Source organism: Homo sapiens, chromosome 10 (assembly GCF_000001405.40).
Source record: "Homo sapiens chromosome 10, GRCh38.p14 Primary Assembly".
Classification (NCBI taxonomy): domain Eukaryota; kingdom Metazoa; phylum Chordata; class Mammalia; order Primates; family Hominidae; genus Homo; species Homo sapiens.
In genome coordinates this window covers 1,400,009-1,421,762 of record NC_000010.11, presented here as the reverse complement: position 1 = coordinate 1,421,762, position 21,754 = coordinate 1,400,009, and the positions used below count along the sequence as shown (strand labels likewise).

The 21,754-nt window shown below is 51.4% G+C and overlaps 1 protein-coding gene and 1 long non-coding RNA gene across 2 annotated transcripts in view, besides 3 other annotated features; one reads left to right on the top strand and one right to left on the bottom strand.

Moving 5' to 3' along the window:
* Positions 1–21,754, top strand: part of ADARB2 (adenosine deaminase RNA specific B2 (inactive)) — a 560,213-nt gene that overhangs the window by 315,763 nt on the left and 222,696 nt on the right. The gene's annotated exons all lie outside the window — the stretch shown is intronic.
* LOC124902364 (uncharacterized) lies at positions 10,551–15,281 on the bottom strand. Its single transcript, XR_007062032.1, has 3 exons — positions 15,052–15,281; positions 14,379–14,655; positions 10,551–11,037 (listed from the first exon to the last, which is right to left on the bottom strand). It is a non-coding gene; the product is annotated as an uncharacterized LOC124902364 (long non-coding RNA).
* Positions 11,076–12,275: an enhancer, noted in NCBI's record as "MED14-independent group 3 enhancer chr10:1451683-1452882 (GRCh37/hg19 assembly coordinates)". NCBI's record gives its function as "activates an origin of replication core promoter dependent on BRD2, BRD4, P300/CBP and CDK7 cofactors, and independent of MED14, by STARR-seq in HCT116 cells {active_cell/tissue: HCT116}" and the evidence as "EXISTENCE:reporter gene assay evidence [ECO:0000049][PMID:35650434]".
* Positions 11,148–12,097: an enhancer, noted in NCBI's record as "H3K4me1 hESC enhancer chr10:1451861-1452810 (GRCh37/hg19 assembly coordinates)". NCBI's record gives its function as "activates a minimal SCP1, AML or CMV promoter by ChIP-STARR-seq in naive H9 embryonic stem cells {active_cell/tissue: H9 hESC(naive)}" and the evidence as "EXISTENCE:reporter gene assay evidence [ECO:0000049][PMID:30033119]".
* Positions 13,955–14,539: an enhancer, noted in NCBI's record as "H3K4me1 hESC enhancer chr10:1449419-1450003 (GRCh37/hg19 assembly coordinates)". NCBI's record gives its function as "activates a minimal SCP1, AML or CMV promoter by ChIP-STARR-seq in primed H9 embryonic stem cells {active_cell/tissue: H9 hESC(primed)}" and the evidence as "EXISTENCE:reporter gene assay evidence [ECO:0000049][PMID:30033119]".

Below are 21,754 nucleotides of genomic sequence, written 5' to 3'. Positions count from 1 at the left end.
TGGGGTTCACTTTAGGAGGCAATGGGGTGAATCTTACAATGGAAAGGACAAAACAAACAGTCAACACTAACAGCGTGGACTCTCCTGACTTCCACAACAGCAGCCCCATCTGAGCATCGTGAGTCTTAACTCTCAGCATGTGCATTTTATAAAGGCAGGATTTTTGTCCACTTTGTTCACTGCTATAGTCCCAGGGCCCAGGATAGTGTCTGGCCCACAGTAGGTATGAATAAACATTTATTCAATGTGAATAAGACTCTGTAATGAAAGAGAATCTAGAGAAGAATAAGTTCAAATTGCTCCCTGACCCCCAACCTCCCACTGCTTTTAGGAGTAAGCCCATTGTTACCCAAAAAGATTTAGTGACTTCTGTGAAATCGCAAGAAGCCAGCCTGGAACCTGACCCTGAGACACTGAGACCCTTTAATCTCCTCACAGCTGAGCGTGGGTGGGGTTAGGTCCTGCAGATCCTGACCAGCCACCTGTCCCACAAACCAAGCAGCAGACAAACACTATGGAACCGACGGGCAGGTGCACAGGCTGTGCTTTGACTGTAACGCTCCAGTGCAGAGGGCCCCTTTGGTCCGGGTTAATCAAGGCAGGTCTGAAGGAGCCCCCGCCCTCCTCCAGCCGGTGCCCCCACCATCCTGGGGACCTGACTCACATCAGTGCTCTGATCAGAGGTGAAGGGCGGGAGAGCTTCGAGCTCCCCCTGGAGGCGAGTGTTGCACAAACACACTAGATGGAGAGCAGTGGAGGTGTAACACCACCCTGTGAGAGCAGAGAGAGGAAGGAGAACCGAGCGGCGCAGGGCAGGCAGGAACATTTCGCTTTCATTGGGAAGTGTCCGTCTTCTCTACTTGCCGGTTTGCTCCGGGGTGTGTGCAATGCAAGCTCCTTTGGAAGCATGCCTTACAAGACATAGCACTGCTTCTTTCAGGACGGGGCTCTAATTTGTGGCTAGCCCTGGGCGGGCGTTAATCAATGTGGTCCTCGAGAATTACATCTTCTCCTGCTTCTGTGCCCTGGGTGCAGAGCCTGTGTTCTCAGCGGCAGGCAGCGGCTCCCTCTCTGTCAGCGCTGTGCTCACTCGCTCTCTGTTTCTCAGCCGAGCTATTTCCTTTCCTCTGCCTTTTTTTTTTTTTTTTTTCCCTCTTTCTGGAAGATGAGGACCTGCCATCATTTATCAAGGATTTGATTCTTCATCATGAAAAACCATGGTCCTGAGTCCAGCTTCTATTTGGTAGATAGAGACAGATCAGCTTCAACTCTAAATTTTATAAACCTCTTATAATAAAATCCCTCGGATGTGAATGTGCTGTCTCAATAATTAGATGAATACAGCCAACCACTGGTTACCAGCATGATGAAGGATCTGATCATATTATTTTCCGTGGCTGCGCTGGCCTGACAATCCCCCACCACATATCTGTCTGTGCTACTCTTTGTCAGCCTTACACGTAGCTGTCCATGTAAAAATACTTACAAAGTAACTGCTCAAACATGAAAATCACAAGGCAAGAGCTCATTAAACAAAGAAACGGCATGAGCTGTGCTGTGTAGTAGATTAGAACTTTAAATATTTCCTGCTAGCAGGTAAGTTATGAGGCCTTTAAATATGTATTATTATTCACATTTAATCATGCACCGAATGTTCCTGCTTAATTGCTAAATGTTTTCTCTTGTGCTTAAATTTCATGCCACAGATTATTAAAAATTGACTTTACAATATTTATTTTACTTATCTTCTCAAGCCAGACTGGGCATAGCTGATAGATTTGGTAAATTATTAATTTTTAAAGGCAATTTGTGCTACATTTTACACTCGGATGATGTCCAGAGAGACTCTGATTTCTAGTCCAAAACTTACAGAACTGAATCACTTTGATTCATCTTTTATCTAAAGACTCTTAAAACACATATGCAGAGATGTGAGAGCTAACGAATCCCTCCGATGTGATGTGAAAAGCTAACAAGCGCTTAGTTAACATTTAGATTCATGTGATGAAGGAGGAAAACTATCATTTCCAGTAGGTTATCTGAGCAATAACCTTGGACGATATAATTCATTCTGTTATATAACAAGAACTGCTTAGAGACATCATGAGACTTTAATAAAACCCACAAACATCTCTATATCAGGCTTAATTTACTGCAGCACCAACCATCTGGGCTTACCGTCCCTCTGGGTACCGGTTCCGCCCAGTGAGGCTGTGCCCTCCATAAAGTGGCCCGTGGTTTTGCTATAACTCGGTTTACATAGGGGAGCATATGCATGAGCCAAGATAAACTTCTCATATGGATTCTGCTGGATTTTTTTAAAGTGTTTGATAGTAAGTTTCCACTGTCCATACATTAAATTCTAAGCTAAAATTATATATTAAATTGGGAGTAGATTCTTAGACACCAAAAAGATAAAATGATCAATAAAATGAGGTCAGGAGTTCGAGACCAGCCTGATCAACATGGTGAAACCCCATCTCTACTAAAAAAATACAAAAATTAGACGGGCGTGGTGGCGGGTGCCTGTAATCCCAGCTACTTGGGAGGCTGAGGCAGGAGAATCACTTGAACCTGGGAGGTGGAGGTTGCAGTGAGCCAAGATCATGCCATTGTGCTCCAGCCTGGGCAACAAGAACAAAACTCTGTCTCAAAAAGAAAAAAAAGACACATCACTGTACATTTTTGTGTATATTTAGGCTCCTGCTTTAGTTTCATTTTTCTGAAAACCAGTGTTGTCTAAACATCCCTTTTCTTAGCCACACTATGCAACCAAGATCCAGGGTTCCAAGTGAACCCTTTTCTTTCCTCGACCATGCAGCCTACATACCAAAGGGGCGCAGGACACACTTGGCTGGTTTCCGACAGCACGCACAAAACAGAAAAGGGAAATTTTCCAAGACAACTGACAAAAATCAAGACATAGATTTTTTTTTTTCTCAGTTATCCTGCAGAAACTTTGAAAGGCTTGATGTATTTGCTGAACTTTGGAATGCTCACTGAGTTTAAAATCACTATTGTATCAGTGTTGCTCGGCCCAAAACTAGCTAGGGCACTGAGGAGGAAATAGTCTGGATAGTCACATAATAATACGGACTACTCTGGCCAGTCTAGAGCCCTGTGTGAAAGATAATAGCGGAAATAATTTCCTCAAGACACCAGAAGCTTCGGACAACTGCTTTTTACTGCGGGCTGTTTTTCCCCTTGTCAATGCCATTCCAATTATTTTGTTGGTGCGTGGAAGGAAATTAGTTAAGTGACATTTGAGTATCAGAGCTTCTCCTTGGTACCTTGGGCCTCGTCTGCCTCTAGCCAGAACCCACATACAACAAGGCTCCCCCGTGGCGTCTCGGCAGGGGATCTGCCAGAGCAGCCCTGGAGAAAGGAGATGGGACTGCCCGGGACAGAGCAAAGCCACAGGGCAGGTCCCCGCTGCATCTTAAAGCTCGAGGCCTGACCCTGAGCCCACCGTCTTTCCCGGGAACTCCAGGGGTGCTCATAGCCGACTTGAAATTCTAAGGAGACACTTCCCCACACCAGGACTAGGCTGCTTGGTTTCTGTGGACACTTTAACAAAACACCATAACTAACACGATGAAGTTGATCCTAGATGGGCGACTCCCTTTGGTTTACGGAAACGTCCCTCCACCGACAGAGGAGGTGCAATTGTGAACCTCCTTGCCTGGGCCGTCTGCTCCAAAGTCAAGTCTCCCCAGACATCTCAGCAAAGGATGTGGAGTGACCTTCATCGGCTTTTAAATGTACTGCAAGGGGCTTATTCTTTAAAACTTCTAAACATTGTGATCTGTAAACAAATATGCAGATCTCTGTCCGCCATTTTCCCCATGCACCCTGGCGTCTGCTCTTCCTGCCTAAACTTTGAGGTGCCTTGGGGCCCACAGCGCGTGGCCTCAACGCACATGGCTGCCACTTGCCATGCAGGCATCTACTGTGAGCCCTGGAGGGGCAGCCATGGCACACCCTAAGAAGCACGCAGAGCCCAGGCCAGGCAGGGCGCTGAGTCCAGAGGAGTGAGGCCCACCCCAGGAGGTGCAACGCCGGCCCATAGCACAGGAGTGAAGAGTGGGGAGGCAAAAACCACCCAGCCACCAATACAGAACCCAGACAAAAGAGAGCACAGACTCCTGTCCATGTGTCAGGCAAACGGTGCAAACTCCACACCTGCCTGTTTTGATGTGATTTTAGGAATATCACTTACTCCACTGTGTTCGTTCACGTGTAAAATAGGAATGATAATAAAATCCATCCTTCCACAACCCTTCATCCTTCTTTTGAGTCAGTAAGATAATTAATGCAGGGCAATTAGCAGAGTGCCTTAGAAATCGCTCATCAGATCTCTTCCCGACCCTCTGGGCTGCACTCCCTGGTCATCTACCCTGACCGACTTCCTGACCATCTAGTCTATACTTCCTGACCGACTGTTCTATACTTTCTGACTGTCTGTTCTGCACTTCCTATCTAGTTTGCATATCCTGACCATCTAGTCTATACTTCTTGACTGTCTTGGTCTACACTTCTTGACTGTCTTGGTCTACACTTCTTGACTGTCTTAATCTACACTTCCTGCCCATCTAGTCAACACTTCCTGGCCATCTGGTCTATACTTCCACACCATCTGATCTACACTTCCTGGCCATCTGGTCTATACTTCCTGCCCATCTATTATATCCCACACTTTCTGGCCATCTGATCTATGCTTCCTGACTATCTGGTCTACACTGCAGGCCACCATCCACACAGTTTCTCAAACACTCCTGCAGTAACAACTCCTAAGCCGGGGGGTCTGATGTCTCCACATGGAATGTTTCAGGGGGACCCGTGCTGCACCCACCTCCCTTCTCAGCTGTGGATGGTCATGCCCCAGGCCGACACCTTCTCTCTCCCACATCAGCAAGCTGGGCGCTGCCAATGTGAAAAGGTTGGCTGACCTAATGGGGTTTCACCACGTGACTTACTGGCAGGGATCTGGCTCTCATGGAGACTGAGTGAGTTCATGGGCCCCATTCTCTGGAGTGGAGCACCTGGTTGACTGCCATCATCCCAGACCCCACAAGGGTGGTGATGGAGCCAGGTGCATGGTACGGACCTGTGTGCATCAGGGCAGCCTGGGTGAGAAACTCCAGGGCCCCTGCCTGTGCAGCCTCACAAGGGCCTTTCCTGGATCCCAGCCAGTTACCTGCTCTAGCTCTCCCCACGGCCCATCCACAGGGAGGCTGTGAATCAACAGAGGGAGAGAGACCCACAGGGGCCTGCCAATGGCCAGGCGCTCACTCCTCTGGGCCTCCTGTGCTGACTTTGGACCCCAGAGTAGGTTAGAGGAGGAACCAGCTATAACTGAAGTGCAATAGAATGATTGGCGTCCCCTTAACAAACACCCACAGGCACACTCACCCCAGTTGGGCCTTCATTTAGTTTCATCTCTCAACTTTTGGCAGCATGAGTTGCCCAATAATTCATTTATTCAAAAATATCTTCTATTTGCCAAATCCTGTCTTACATGCAAATGTACATGTGTGTACATATCTGTGTGTGTGTGAATAAGTGTTTATGAATATGAACCGCATATGTTCATGTGATTCACAGACCAGTCCATCTAAGAACCTGCAGGAGGGAAATAAGACAGGCAATCACAAGAAGTAATGTCTACTTAGATCTTCACGGATGGCACAGTGATGTCATGTGTACTGCTTGTTAAGCCCCATGGCGGGTCTTGAGTTTGGTCCTATTGTTATTTCCCATTTATGGAGTGGTCTAGAGATATTCACCCAGTAGGCTGTGATCACACGGCTGGTGAGTGGTAGAATCAGCCTCATATCCAGGCTCTATAATATGACTACCCTAGGAGTTCCATCAATGCTCAGAGAAGAGAGACACTACTGCTTTAGGGGCAATAAATAGGGCTGCATGGAAGAGGTGGCAATTGAGAAAGTGATAATTTTTCACATAAGATGATAATTTTATTTTGACTCTATGATCAATAGAATCAAACAAATAACTTTTCTAATTTAGTTTTAGCCTTAATGTAAATTAAATTATTTTTAATTTTAATAAATAGCTAATCTGCTTCATTATGGCAGTTTTCTTATTTGCATAGAATTGACTTGATGAAATGACTAAGAAATAGCCAATCAAATTATCATTTCATGACACATACTCAAACAAAAAAGTAATTGAAGTCTTAATTAGAGAGAGTCACCCTATTCCCAAATATTTCTTACCATGCGGAAGAGGTGTCGTGTTTATCTGGCCAACTCATGTATCAATCATCCATTCATCCATCCACTCATCAACTCATCTGTCATCCATTCATCCACCATCTATTCATCCACTCATCTATGCATCTCTCCATATACCCTTTCTTATATCCACCCATCTATCCATGATCCACCCATCCATCCCACCATCCATCCATCCATCCATTTCACCATTTATCTGCCCATTCTATCGTCATATACCCACCCAGCCATCCAGCATCTAACCACTCATGTACCCTTGTACCCATCTATCTTCCCATCCATCCACCCATCCACCCATCCATCCACCATCTGTTCACCCACCCATCTATACATATACCCATCCTTATATCCATCCACCATACATCCACCCATCTACCCATCATCCCTCTGCCCATCCATTCACCATCCATCCATTGGTCCACCATCCATCCACCCACCCATGATCCACCCAAACATTCCCCAATCCATCCATCCATCTATCATCCATCTATCCATCCATCCATCCATCCATCCACCTTCTATCATCCTATCCATTCACCATATAGCCACCCACCCATCCACCATCCATCCATCCACCTATCTATCCATTCATTCACCATTCCTTTATCCATCTATCTAACCATCCATGAGCCACTCATCCAGCCCCCATCATCCACCTAGCCAGCTGTCTCTCTATCCATCCTTCTGTCCATCTGTGTTGGGGTGATCAGACCCAACACCAGGTCATGGGGGTGACAAAGTCCAGTGGAGTCAAAGGATTGAGAAAAAGACAGTTTGAGAAGTAAAGGTGGGACCAGGGGCCATCGTGATCATGGAGGCTGCAAAGGCCCCAAGCTCTGGGAGCACATGCTATTTATTGGTAATCCAACAAAGAAACAGGTGATGAGAATGTGGAGGTTGAAAGGGCATGTTGCATTAAGCACGTGATTTACAGCTGTGACAGTTTAGCATTTGCTCTGCTACCTGAGATAATGGAGAGCAGGTTCTTTTCACTCAAGATATAATCGATCCTGGGAGAGCAAGGAGCAAGGAGTCAGCAAGTCTAGACACATTCCAGAGCCACGAGCCCTGGATTCTATCCAAGCCACGAGGGATTTTATGCCCTGGGCTTAGATTACGGTACGTCAGGGTAGCCTTCCACCCTTTAGCACAGAGCTTGGTGTTCCAAAGACCACAAGGGGTTTTAGACCCTGGCCACCAGACATGTTCTAAGACTCTTTTACATTATGTCAGACATGCAAGCACTGCCTCAGCTTCTCCCGACACTCAGCTTTTCCCAATAATCTGCCCATCAGCTAAGTGCTTACTGTATTCCCCCCATCAAGGAAACGAAGCCTGGGTTGGGGGTAGGTTGAGCAATTCCAGGACAGTGAGGATAACTGGCTGGAGGCCATGGCTGTGCAGGGCAGCCCCCTGAGCCGAGCTGGTGAGGAAAGGAGTATCAGGGAGGCTTCCAGGGAGTGGGACCTGAACAGCGTCTGAAGAACGAATAGAGCCCCTGATGTGGGTCTGGCACCCAGCGAGCACACATTGTTTTTTGGGCTTCACTGAGAGGACATCACCGTGAGACCTGCAATTGCAAGACAAGGATTTCTTTACCTGCTTAACTGAACTCATCCCCAGTGTTCACTGGGTATCGCAAAACTTTTCTATCCATCATGGCAGAATGGATGCATAATTTACAAATCGGTTTTTACTAAAGATTATTTGGGTTTTGACCAAAAAATTAAAACGATGAATTTGTCATTGTGCCCGGGAGCATCATCAGCGCTCAGTCTGTAAGATTCTCAAGGTGAGGCTGAGAGGTCGCTGGGCAGAACAGAAGGCCCGGCCCCAGGGGCAGGGCCTGAGTGAGAATCTTGGCTTCCCTGCCCTAGGGTTCACGGCTGCGCTTCCTGTGTCCAGGTTTCTTCTCTGCAAAACAGGGCCGATAGGAGGACCCTTTCATAAGATGGTTAGACCCGAGCAGGTGCACGACACAGGCTGTGTGCACTTCAGCTGTAATTTATGGTATTCCAGTTACACAAGCCATTGCTGACATTGGCTGGGTCACTGTTAGGACCCACATGTTTTTTGTGTGAATTCAAGACCGAGAGCTTGGGCATGATGAAATAGACTTTCCTGCTCTGGAACTCTGCCTCCATTCTGCGAGACCCGACGCCGTTTCTAACCACAGAGCACCCCCTTCCCCAGTGCTGTGTCAGTGTCGGGATTGGGGCTGGGACATTGGCTGGGGACCCCCTTCCTGCACCATCTCCCACTCATGTTCTCACTGGGACCCCTGCTGCCCTGGCTGGGCCCTGCGCCCTCACCATACAACAACTGCTCAAGTGGTTCCTAGGCTGTCAGCCACCTGGGTGGATTCTAACACCCGTCTCCTGCCTGCAGACCGTTCTAGACCATTCTAGAGTATGCATGGCTGGGCTCTGCCAAGCTCCTGTGGCTCCTCTGCTGAGAAGCAGCCATGCCCAAATCCCCATGGAGCCCACAGCCCGAGGGCCCATCCACCCTCCCGCCAGCCCTGAGGCAGTGGGCAAGACCCCTCTCCATTAGGGTGGGCGGCTGGGGACCAGCAGGGAAATGAACCAAGGAAAAGGAACCTACGTTAAAGTCACAAAAACACTGCGGGTGGATTTCCTTATTTGATATTCAAGACAATTCTATGAGGTAGCTGCTATTTTTATAGTAAAGAGGAGAAAATTGAGACGTAGAGAAGCAACGTAGCTTCCCACAGGTGGTGCGGGAGGATGAGCCCCGAAAGCCGTGCCCCCACACCCACCTGCCCCGCCCAGGTCTGAGCAGGGATGCACCTGGCAACCACAAATTGACTCATTACGTGGTCCATTACCCTCGGAAGCCTTCAGTTGCTCCTGAGTTGATTACCTGAAACGCGGTCCGGCCCATCCTCTGGCAGATATGAGGATTATTTTGTGCTTTATGCGTTGGCTCAAAGGAAATATTTTCTGCTGTTTTGGACTTTTTTGAATGTATGGATATAATTGCTTTAAAATAAAATAGAGAACTATTTTAAAAGCAAAAATAATAATAATAATAAAGTCACAACCTCACATAGCTAAAGCCCAGGTTTCATTTAAACATGGATTTATAAATTTTTTAAATTATTTGTTCAAAAAAAAAACACATCTTTTAATCAACTGTTCAGTAAAGACTTCAAGGCGATACAGTAAACAGACAAAAGAAGTCCAGCTCTTTAACAGGGTTTGCGACTTCCTTTTAAAGACCCGAGGGTTTCCTGGGAACTGAGCCATCCTCTAACCAGCCCCGAGGTCTCCGGGCTCGCAGGATGCAGCACGCTCCGAACCCGTCCAGCATCGTCCCGAGCCTCAGCTCAGCGGAGAAAAGGGCCCTTGACAAGGCACAGACATCTTGACCACATCCTTCCCCAACGCATGCCCTGAAGTCTGAGAATTTCTCGGAAGACAAGCACTCTCCTCAAATTCCTGATAACTTGACCGGGGCAAGAAGGGAATGAACACATCAGGCCTCTCTGCTCCTCTCAGCCTGATGCGTCGTTTCTAAGTCCACTCTGAGTAAAGGCTGTTTTAAATAGCAGTTTTCAGGTCTTTATGTATAGAAATCTATACTGCTAGCTGAAAGCAATGTCTTTCAAATTTTGGTTGAAAATGCAGAGAAACAAAATAGCTTTTGCTGCAGAACTGTGTGTATTTATCAAGCGCTGAGGGGCACTTGCTGTAGGTCAGGCACTTGCGTCTACGACCTTCGTAAATGGCGTTTCAGGAAGCACCTACAGTGGCCTTGCACGGATGGTTCGATCCGCTTCTTGCCGGCGGAGCTCACACCCGACACACTGTGGGGTCTCTGTGGTGTTGCTGCAACGTGTCCACTCAGCACGGACCGCCCGTCCCCACCACCCACCCAGGACCACATCTGTGGTGCCTGTCGCTTTAGTGAAGCTAACCTGGCCCAGGGATACAGTCAGAAAGTCACCTGAGGAGGAAAAAGCTTCAAATTCCCGCTTTGGGTTCACAGAATCTTGGGTCCAGCAGTAACTTGGGTAAGAGTTAGGAGAACATTGCTTCTGGAAGCCCTGGTTTCTCCTGAACCTCCCACTGGTGGCCTGGAGAGGACGTGGTGCTGTGGGCTGGTCCCGCCCTGGGCTGGTGGGGACGGGTGGGCTAACGACGGAGCCTCCGGTGCACTTGAAGGAGCAGCACTGTGTTCCCCCGAAGCCAGGGTTGCCCCGCAGCCTCACGGACGCACCTGTGCCTCAGCCACCATGCAGCCTGGAGCAGACAGGTGCAGAAGGCCTGAACCAGGCCCCTGAGATTCTCTAGGCCCACGGAGGCTGGGGAGGCATCTCACCTGCCCACCTGGCCCAGGAGAGACAAGGAAGCTAAGGCCGTGTCTGGATGGCCGTGCCCTGGTCCCAAAGGCTGCAGAGAGGAGAGCAGGATGCAGTTTCCCTGCAGGCGCCCTGAGGGAGGAGCGCAGACACCAGCACAGCATGGAGCAGACCAAGGACAGGTCTTCCTGCTCTGCACCAAAGTCCGGGATCTGAGACTCAGCCCTTCGCCTCCAGGAGGACAGGGCGCAGCTCGGGAGAGGGAGAGGCCGTAACTGACTGGACTGCCCTCCATCCGGGCAGCTGAAACAGCTGCTCACCAAGTGATCAGGCGGCACTCACAGACGTCTCAAGGCAGAAGCTCAGTGGAAGAAGGTTCGCTTGTTTACGCAGGTAAAATTGCACCGACGATTCCTGCTCATCCCCGTGGTGAATCAAAGCACAGACTGGCTGACCCTGAAAGTGAAGGAGGACAGGGGGTCTTCAAACAGGAAAACCACCGCAGCCGCTGTGGCAGACACCGAGGAGAGGCAGTTGGAGCAGATGCTACACCATCAACAGTTATGTAGACTCCAGTGATCTCCTTTTAACGTCGTAATATTTCTAGAGCAGCAGCCATTTTCTGCTGAATAGGAGCAGGCCTTTAGATTTAATTGACATCTCTGTTGTCTGCCCGCCTGGAGAAGGGAATACATCACTCCTTGTTTTGTTATTTTGCTCTCAGGAAATGAGATTACATTATCTCAGCCTGAGAAGTCCTCTGGCCCAAACCTTTCCATCCCTGATACTGTGCTCGTGGCAGCAGCGAGGAGAATCCTTCCCCATGACCACAGCCAGGCCTCAGCACCACTGACAATCCTTCCCTATGACCACGGCCAGGCCTCAGCACCACTGAGAATCCTTCCCCATGACCACGGCCAGGCCTCGGCACCACTGACAATCCTTCCCCATGACCACGGCCAGGCCCCGGCACCACTGGGAATCCTTCCCCATGACCACGACCAGGCCTCGGCACCATGACCACAGCCAGGCCTTGGCACCACTGACAATCATTCCCTATGACCACGGCCAGGCCTCAGCACCATGACCACAGCCAGGCCTCAGCACCACTGAGAATCCTTCCCTATGACCACAGCCAGGCCTCGGCACCACTGAGAATCCTTCCCTATGACCACAGCCAGGCCTCAGCACCACTGAGAATCCTTCCCTATGACCACAGCCAGGCCTCGGCACCACTGAGAATCCTTCCCTATGACCACAGCCAGGCCTCGGCACCACTGAGAATCCTTCCCTATGACCACAGCCAGGCCTCAGCACCAATGAGGATCATTCCCTGTGACCACGGCCAGGCCTCAGCACCACTGAGAATCCTTCCCTATGACCACGGCCAGGCCTCAGCACCACTGTCAGTCATTCCCTATGACCACGACCAGGCCTCGGCACCACTGAGAATCCTTCCTCATGACCACAGCCACGCCTCAGCACCACTGAGAATCCTTCCCCATGACCGTGGCCAGGCCTCGGCACCATGACCACAGCCAGGCCTCGGCACCACTGACAATCATTCCCTATGACCACAGCCAGGCCTCGGCACACTGAGAATCCTTCCCTATGACCACGGCCAGGCCTCGGCACCACTGAGAATCCTTCCTCATGACCACGGCCAGGCCTCGGCACCACTGAGAATCCTTCCCCATGACCACGGCCAGGCCTTAGCACCATGACCACGACCAGGCCTCAGCACCACTGAGAATCCGTTGCCACAGCGATGGCCAAGCCACACGCCCCACGCAGATGGGGTTCAGGTGGCCACAGAGATGAAACATCTGAAAAGAGAAAAATTCTCTGTTTGGCTGCAGGTCAAGTCAAGTTTGCAGAATGCACTGACGAAGTGGGAGCCCGCCGTCAGGCAGGGCGGGGCGACGAAGGTGGGAGCCCGCTGTCAGGCAGGGCGGGGCGACGAAGGTGGGAGCCCGCTGTCAGGCAGGGCGGGTCGAGGAAGGCAGAGATACCTGCCCCGGGCTGGATGCGGGGGCTCCGTGGGCCAAGCGTGCTTCAGGGGTATGTGGTGTGAACAGAGCATGTCCAAGGGTCCAGGGTAGACTGAGACATGGGCATCAGCCTGAGGAGTGAGCAGGAGCTCATTAGGTCTCCCCAGAGAGCAGCACAGCCGGCCCAGCCTCCTCTGCAATCACTGACGCCACCACCACGGAGCCAGCAGCTCTGGAACACAACCCGGCCAGCCCAGCTGCAGCCACAGTGGGTGAGGAGCCGCGGCCACCCTCATCCTCTGAGCCTGCAGCAGGCGTTGGGTCCCAGGCAGACAGAGCAAGACCCAGGCCACTCCCTGTGTGCTGGTGCAGACACAATTCCCAGCTACCAGTGTGTGGCCGTGGTCTCTCTCAGTCCACAGAGGCTGGGAGGCAAGTGAAATCCAGAGCCCAGTGAACAAAGGATTCACACAGGCTCACCAAGACACACAACAGCCGAGCCTCCCTGGTTACCAACAAGGACAGGTCAAAGCCATAGGGTGACTTTCTGGTTTCCGACGGGCAGCAAGCTTTTAAAATTGCACTCACGGCTGGCAAGGGTTGAGTGAGATGGGCATATTCATGCTGGACGGGTGGCCCTGGGACTCGGTGTGACTGTAAAACTAATTTGATTTTGGAAATCGAGAGCCCTGACATTCTTGACTCCCTTTCGCTCAGCTATTGCATTTCTAAGAGTGTGAACTGAAAGATCATCATAGATGTGGTTCAAGACTCATGTGTAAAGATGTTCAGTGCAGCATCCTTAATAATATGCATATCACATGTGAGCACGTATCTACACAATATCTAAAAACACTGATGCTCCCTGTATATCCAGCAATCTGGGAATGGTCGACCATGCTGTGGGATATATTTTCATTGGAATGTGTTATGTAGACATTTTAACTCGTGTTTTAAAGAATATTTTAGATAATGAAAAATGTTCACAATGTAATATTAAATGGGAAAGGGGATTGCCAAACCATGTAAAGCATGATCTCAGCTTCATTAAGAAGGATGCATGCACCCATATTTACAAATTAAATCCAATTTCTATTCGTCTAATATCTTGCCTCTCAAGCTAAGACAGTATAAAATATTCTGCAAAATAATTAACAGTGTGAGCCCTTGGAAGGTGGGGTGTGTGACAATGCAATTTCCTTTTTAAATATTATTGTATATTTTTATATTTTCTATAATACTGAGATAATTCATTTTAGAGTCAAAGAAAGCATTGGCCTCCAGCCTCCTCACTTCTCTCTTCTGCTGGGAGGCTTTGGGTCTGTCTGCCCAGTTCCCCCCACAGAACAGTCATGCAGAGGGGAAGGAGGGCCTGGGGATGGAGGCCGGGCGAGAGCAACCCCCAGGACATGCTCGGGAGAATCTTCCATCCTGGAGGTGGGGGAGGGCACCACCTTGGGAAGCAGGTTGAGCTCTCTCAGAACACCGTCACTCATCTGATGCCAGGATCTTGAATTCTCAGAAGCCCCAGGAAGATCGTCTCTGCCAGTGCTGGGCTAGGACTATGCCCCGAGGAAGGGCAGCCGGGACTCCTGGGCTGAGGCATAATCCAACAGAATGCAGGCTGAGGCCCCAGGAAGCAATGACTCCCTGCCCCCTACCGTCAACTTCCCCAAGCCTCTGAGTCTCTCTCAACCTGAAACCATTTTTTAAGGGCAGCCTAGCCCTGCAGAGAAAAAGGCCAGTGGGTCACCAATGGGACCACCGCCAGGGGTTAAGCCAGAGACCCCACCCCGGCCGTTGTACCCTCTTCAGGAGTAGCAGTGGCTCAGAAGGACGCCGGAGACGTCGGACCCGGGACCCCTTCCAATGGCACTTGTAGAAGACAGAGGACAGCACAGGAGCTGCAGGTGACTGCAGGTCATCGTCCTGCTTCCCAGGAGTCAGTGGTGCTGCCCGGCTGTTCCTGTGCTGTCCCGAGAACAGCAAATCAGTATGGGGTCCGCTCGGTCTGTGCCAGTCCTGCCACTGTGTCAGGGAACCAGGGAGCCATCAGAGGCTACTCAGTGGACTTTGTAAGCACCTGCATAAAATAACACATTTAATTTAATGCAAGGTCGTAAAAATAAGTGGGCTTTATGGATGCCTGCTTTATGCAGCCGCACAGCCAAAGGAGGAGACGCATCCCCCAGGGCCCAGATCACCAGCGTCCCTGGCCATCCCAAGGAAGGCTGCTTCTGGGGAGGATGGGGATGGGCTGCTTCTGGCGAGGGGGGCATAAGCTCCTCCTCTTTTCCTGCAAGCTGTGGCCACTCCCCCCATTCATCATCTGTGAAGTAGGAAAGCCGGCAATCCTCGTCCAGTCCTGGGACGTGCAGGAATCAGGGCCCCAACTGCAGGGCCAGGGGGTTGACAATGGGGGAAAGGGCGTTGGTGTCATCGAACCCGTGGGCAGCCCCAGATCCACCCTGGCACTCACCTTCACAGCAGTCACAAGGGGTGCCAGGGCTCCCCCGCCAAAGCCTTCTTTATTTCAGACAACCTGGGAAAAGGGAACATCCCTAGCCAACACAGCCCAAAATTAAATTGTCTGGGAGTTCCACCAAAGTTTGAAAGACCCATCAACCCATAGGAGGGAAAGTCAAGGCCAAGTTTATTTCTAGCGACCAGTGGTCCCCAGGTAGGGAAGCCACAGAGATGAAGAAGAAAGGAGACACTTTAGGAGGTGATCCTCTGTGGGCTTCAGTGACCCCTCCAGCCTTCCACGAGGTCCCCCAGGCCACTCTCTCCTTCCCGGGTACCGAGCCCACACGGCTTTAGAGCTGGATGGAAAGCAGGTACCTTGGCAAGGTGATCACAGACAGCAAGTGTCCTGAGAGTGAGGTGTGTCCTTCAGCTCCCTGCCTGAGCCCCTGGGGAGGGCCCACACACAGAAGGAAGCAGGCCCTGGGCTAACCAGACCTGCAAGGAGAGCAGCTGGGTGAGGGCCAGGGTGACATTGCAATCCACAGATCCTTCAGCAAGCTCATCGCAGTGAAAATCCACACCTCCACCATGGCTGGAGATTTTAAAAAGAATAACACATAGCCCAAGTCTACAGGTGAAGGGTGTAATAAACAGGTGTATCTAGGCAAATGGTTTAATAAATGGGTGTATCTTGGCGAAGGGTTTAATAAATGGGTGTATCCAGGGGAAGGATTTAAGAAATGGGTGTACCTTGGAGAAGGGTTTAATAAACAGGTGTATCTTGGCGAAGGGTTTAATAAACGGGTGTATCTAGGGGAAGGGTTTAATAAACAGGTGCATCATGGCGAAGGGTTTCATAAATGGGTGTATCTTGGCGGAAGGTTTAATAAACAGGTGTATCTTGGAGAAGGATTTAATAAATGGGTGCATCTTGGCGAAGGGTTTAATAAACAGGTGTATCTAGGGGGTTTAATAAATGGGTGTATCTTGGTGCACAGCTTCTTAGAGGCTTCAACATACATTGTAAAGATGTGGGTGGATTCTGGTACATTTCCCAAGAAACATCTTAAATTTTTTTTTTTTTTTTTTTTTTTTGAGACTGAATCTCACACTCTTCCAGGCTGGAGTGCAGTGGTGCGATCTCTGCTCACTGCAACCTCTCTGCCTCCCAGGTTCAAGTGTTTCTCCTGCCTCAGCCTCCTGAGTAGCTGGGATTACAGGCCCCTACCATCACCTCTGGCTAATTTTTGTATTTTTAGTAGAGACAGGGTTTTGCCACGTTGGCCAGGCTGGTCCCGAACTCCTGACCACATTGAATCTTGAACCCTTATTTCTGGAGATCTCTCATTTTGTGGAGGCGCTAGAGCCAGCCTGAGTTTCAGCAAATTGAAGCTCAAGATTGGAAGGAGAGTAATTGTAGGTAGCTCAGAAGACCCCACGAGCAGTGGTTGAGGGAACATGTCTAAATCAATGAATGCTTCATGAGTTTTTGGAACACAGTCAAGGTGTGGTAAATGTGAATTCTCCTTAGCACTGAGCCTCTTACTGCATCTGGCACAGGATCAACATGCATAATGGGGCCTGGGCAGCGTTACCTCTGCCCCGTTACCTCTGTGGTTTGTCAGCTGGGCCCCCGCATGACCCCACAGGCTCTGGGAGCCCTCGGAGCTGGGAGCAGTTTCTGAAGACGCAACGATCCTCCACGCAGGCGCCGGGAATTGTATGTAGGAGGCATCGACCTGAGATTTAATTTGCACATAAAGGGACACAGGGTCCTGCTGCTTTAACAAGCTGCGTGTCCTTAAACAATCTAACGAAAAGGACCAATGTAGAAAGCGTGAGCTCCCGGGGAATTCACCCAAGTCTCGCTGGGATGGGAAAGTTGCTCCTAATATATTCTGTTCCAGCTCCCTTTTGGAGAGTTCAAAACAATTGCCCATCACTTTCCCTCAGGGGTCTGTCCAGGGTCCTTTGGGTCCACGAATGTCACTGTTGGCCGGTCAAACGGAAGGAACTTGCCCCGAAGCCGGCGAGCTTACAGGTCTCTGAGCAGCTTTAAGAGACTCGCCAGGCACCAGAGAGGAGAGGTTTTGCTGAATTTGGATTCAGCTCAGCTCAGTGCCTGACACAAGTGGTCACTTTTCTACCTGCAGAGCCCCACATGGTTGTCACTGAGAAAATCAAGTGACACAATGACACACTTTTTTCAGGGCACAGGCGGGAGGAGTGGAGCCCACGCTGGTTCTTGCGCACTCATCACCACGCAGCGTCTCCCTGGCGTCTGCTGGATGGCAGCCGGCAAATGGGCAGCATCTCTGCAGAATTATTTGTGCTGGGCACTGAGGGGCATCTCAGCACCTGCCAAGGGGAGATGCTTAGCCCCATCAGGTCCCCAGTGGTAGGGCCTGCGAGACCAGCCTGGGCATCTCCCGAGGTCCCCCGTGAGCCGTTCCATGCCCTTCCCTGTGTCCTGCTCTCATGGCCAAGCATAGAGCTCCTGGCAGCAGCTTCTCCTGCTCCTTCTGAGCCAAAACGCTTGTTTTAACTAAGTAAGCAGCTTGGCCTCTAGAGCTCATCTTTAGGAAAGCACCTAGGTGGCAGGGGCCCTGCGCTGGGAGCTGTTTCATCTTTGTTGGCCTAGAGCTTTCCAGCTGTGGGGACACAGAAGCCCCTGCACCACAGGAAGCCCCTGACCCTGGCTTGCTGAGAGTGGATGGGGGGTGGCTGGTGACCCTGGGGTGCAATGTCGCTCCCCACAACTACTGGCCTGGTTGATATTCACAGGACAGTGCCCTGCAGACACACCCAGATGACACAGGTGTGCTCTAACTGCCTCCAATCGGGGAGGCAGGAGCAGGGGAGGCTAGGACGTGGGGACTGTAGGAGCACTACAATGATGAATGAAAGCAGATTTAGGGGCAACAGGAGACTGGGAGGGACGTGCCTCCAATACTGCATTGCATGAGAAAGCCTGTGGGTTACAGAGGAACTTGTCCTTGCTGCAGGCCGAGTGGGTCCCAGGCTGCAGCTCTGAGAATGACAGCTAGGGGGTCTGCAGATCAGCTACGCCCGGGGCCACGGTGCCCTCCCTCAGAGTGGGCAGCTGCCGGGCCCCTCACGTGGAGTGCAAGCTCTGAGCTTGTCGAAGTGGCTTCCCCGTTAGCTCACCCAGAGCTGCTGCCTAAGTTGGTTCATTCTGGCATGAATAAGGCAGGAATAAATGAGAATGGCTCTCACTGACAAAAGTAGCAAAAGCCCTTAAAAAACGTATATATAATTTCAAGGAGCACAGTCCACACCTGACCAGGACCAAGCTTAGCCTTGCTCCTGCATCGGGGTGTGAGTGACGACCCAGATAGGGCCCCCGCAATGACTGAAAGAGACATCGTGATTGCCCCTTTACACATGGGGGACTCCAAGCCCAGAGAAGACGCTTGAGATATTTGGTCACAAGGGTTGTACGAATCAGGACCTCTTTGGTTGCAAGTGTTAGAAGGCACAATCTTGGCTCTTGGAACTGAAAAGTTGAGCAGCGGCTGGCTCAGAAAAGAAAAAACGAGTTGAGCAGCGGCTGGGGTCAGGGTCCAGTGGAGGCAGCAGCCGGCCTTTCTCCATCCCCACCTCCGGCTGCTTCCACGAGAGCCGCACACGGTGCCTGCAGGACCCAGCAGAGCTCCAGGCGCACGAGCGCACCTGCCCCAGCAGGAAGACGGACTTCCGCCGCCCTGAGCTGAGTCCTGTGCCCCTCACGGAACAAACACCAGGGAGGAGGGTGGCATCTGGGCGTGGGGCAGGAGCCGGCCCAGTTCCACTTGGAAGGTCCCGGCCTCAGCTTCATGCTCTGCTGGCGCCATCTTGAAATTCTTAGTGATTTTCGAACATTTCTGTTTTACACTGGACACTGCAAATTGTGGAGTCCCTTTTTGCCAGGAGAGTAGGTTTATGCTGATCAGGTTAATCAGAGCCCCCGTTGGAGCTGAGGGGTCAGCCTCATCCACTCAGGAAGCTGCGGGGCAGGAGGGGTGGCCCCAGGGAGGAGGCTTCCTCTGACCAGAAGGAGATGGGAGCTGATGGCGAGGAAGGCAGGATGACTCTCCACTGAAGTGGGGCCGCCTCCGACTCGATGACAGTGTGCGCCATTGGCTGAGCCCCTCCATCAGCCGTCTTTGATTGATTCACATATTTGAGAATTCACAGTTTGATGTAAATGACATACTGCACCAGCCCGCATTTCCAGGCCTGTGTGAGCTAAGTGGCTTCCTTTATGCTAACCACGCACCAATTCCACACAGCATTTTTTCTCAGTGAAACTCCCTCTGTTCTATTCTCCCCCGACCCCACCAGGCAAAGCAGAGTGGGCACGTGGCAGGCTCCCCACGTGTGTGTGCAGAATAGCGGTTGATGAGCAAATCGCTCAGAAGTAGATTTTAGAAGGCGCCCTACCCCTGGCCAGACCGGCGCGCGCACGCGTAAACACTGACTTTGGACCAGAGCAGAATGAGACAGCCTTCCTTCCCTACCCCTCATCCTGGGGCTCAGCACAGGCTAAATGAGGTCTGTCTGCTGCTTCACTTAGGAAATGTCTGCAGGGCAGTTCCCAAGACATTAGCCAGGCCTCATGACACCCCAGATGTCAGCACTTCTCCAGTCTGTCTCGTGGAACAGAAGTTCCGTGAGATGCTCATGAAAATCGAGTTCCAAGGTCATGAGAGAGGCTGTGTGTTTACTCCATTTTGGAGATTTTCAAATTGTATCAGCACAATGTGCATTACAAGCCCCGGGAAGCCCTTCCATAAAGAAATCTGCTTAATTCTGTAGAACTCAGCCCTCCACAAGTACACGCTCGTGGAAATGCTCTGGGCACTAGCACCTGTTTGTGTTTGGCAGAACACACTTTGGGAACCGCTCCCCAGGCCTCGCTGCAGTTTTCTAAAGACAAGCAAGAAACTGCTTGCTCAGTGGCTCATTCTCCTCTAGAGAGCGTGAGGCTCACAGAAAAACAGGGACTCTGCAGAACAGAGCCTGGACCCCACTCCCAAACCGCCGTGAAGCCGCCGCTCTTCGGTAGAAATGGGGACACGGGATACACAGTGTAGCCTCCTTGCTGGTGCCGTTTAAAATGCACCGCGGTCTTCACAGCATGCGAGCTCCCATTGAATCCATGGGGATCCAAGTGTCAGAGGATTCCAAGGCTGCACCTGGCCTTTGTGGGAAGGGAGCTGGGACCATCACCGGAGGCCCCGAACAGCGCTGGCACCTGCCCTCCATGGTCAGTCCTGGAACCGGGGGTACCCGTGTGCTGTGAAACCCCAGAACCCAGCTGTCTTCTCTGACAGGGAGAGGACCCAGGCTTCCCGCAGCATGACCGAAGGCCGGGGTGTTCCAAAACCCTGGTCCCCGCAGGGCTCTGTGCTGCTTACCATCATCACGCCTCCTTCCCATGGGTGATGCCTTGTGGGAAAGTCACGACCAGACCACACACACCGGGCCGTCCCCCACCCGGCTGCCTCCACAGTGGGTCCCTCAGCTGCTCCGGAGGCTCCTTCTCATCCGGGAGGTGGGGAGGGTGACGCTGGGCCTGACGGTGTTTGTGGCTGCCGGGACACACAATGGGAGGCATGTAATCCCATTTCATGCCAGGCTGGGGCCCTGGCGAGGGGTCCTGGGACTCTCTGATACTGCGCTTGCTCTTTCCAGTTTTCCAATCGTGGTCAGGGGCCCCAGCGGTTAAGGTTCCGGTGGAGACAGTGATGATTCTCAGGCCTTCTTCCCTCCTGCCTTGAGGTCGTTCCCGGCCCTCCCTGACTCAGCCGTCGCTGAGGCCTTAGCTGCAAAACAGCTGCTTTCTAGAACATTCAGCTGTCCCAGGGCTCCAACTCCAAAGCCATAAGCCCTCCCACTCAAGCAAATTAAAACCATCCACATGCCACGCCTTTTTACAAACCGTGTGGAACGCAGAAGAACAGCATGAAAAGGAGGCTCTCAGTGACCAGGTGGGGAGGGGAGCAGTGCCATCTCGTCCCGGGCACCAGCCCCTCAGTGCCATGGAGCACTGCGTTGTCCCCACCCAGAGGAGGAGCACGGGCTGGCAGTAGCTCAGGGTGCTTTACTGCATGGTGTCTTCAGGCCTGGCATCAGGTGGGAAAACACTCCTGAAACTAAATTAACCAGTTTTAGATCTAATTTTACCAGGCTGGAGTGGGCTGCAGATTGATTTTCAGGGCATCTAGTAGAGAGCACTGCGGCTGCCTTTCTCCCAGAAAATCCATCTCCATGTGCTGCCGTGACTTGCTTTGCTGGTTGCTGGGAGCAGTGAGAGGCCAGCGATTCACCACGATGTGTCTCACTCTGTGCACTTCAGGAAGTTGTGACACAGAGTCCAGGCCCTGAGGTGTGTTTGCTAAATGCGCCTTTTATGGTAAAACTGCTGCCCGGACTCGGACTCAGGGAGGCCCAGGGCTCAGCCCTGCGGTGGAATTGGCCTGGGGGAGCCCACGCTGCTCTGCCGACCCACGCAGGAGAGACAGACGCAGGACAGCTGCAGGTGCTGGCTCCACGTGGCAGGCAGAGCCCTGGAGCCTGTCCCCTCTCTGCCCACGCTCAGCGGTGCCTCCAACCCTGCCCACCACACACCCCATTCCATCTGCGGTTCATGCTTTTCCCCTGATCTGAACCTGCTAATTCTCGCTCCTCACGTTTGTCCTCATCCCTCAAAG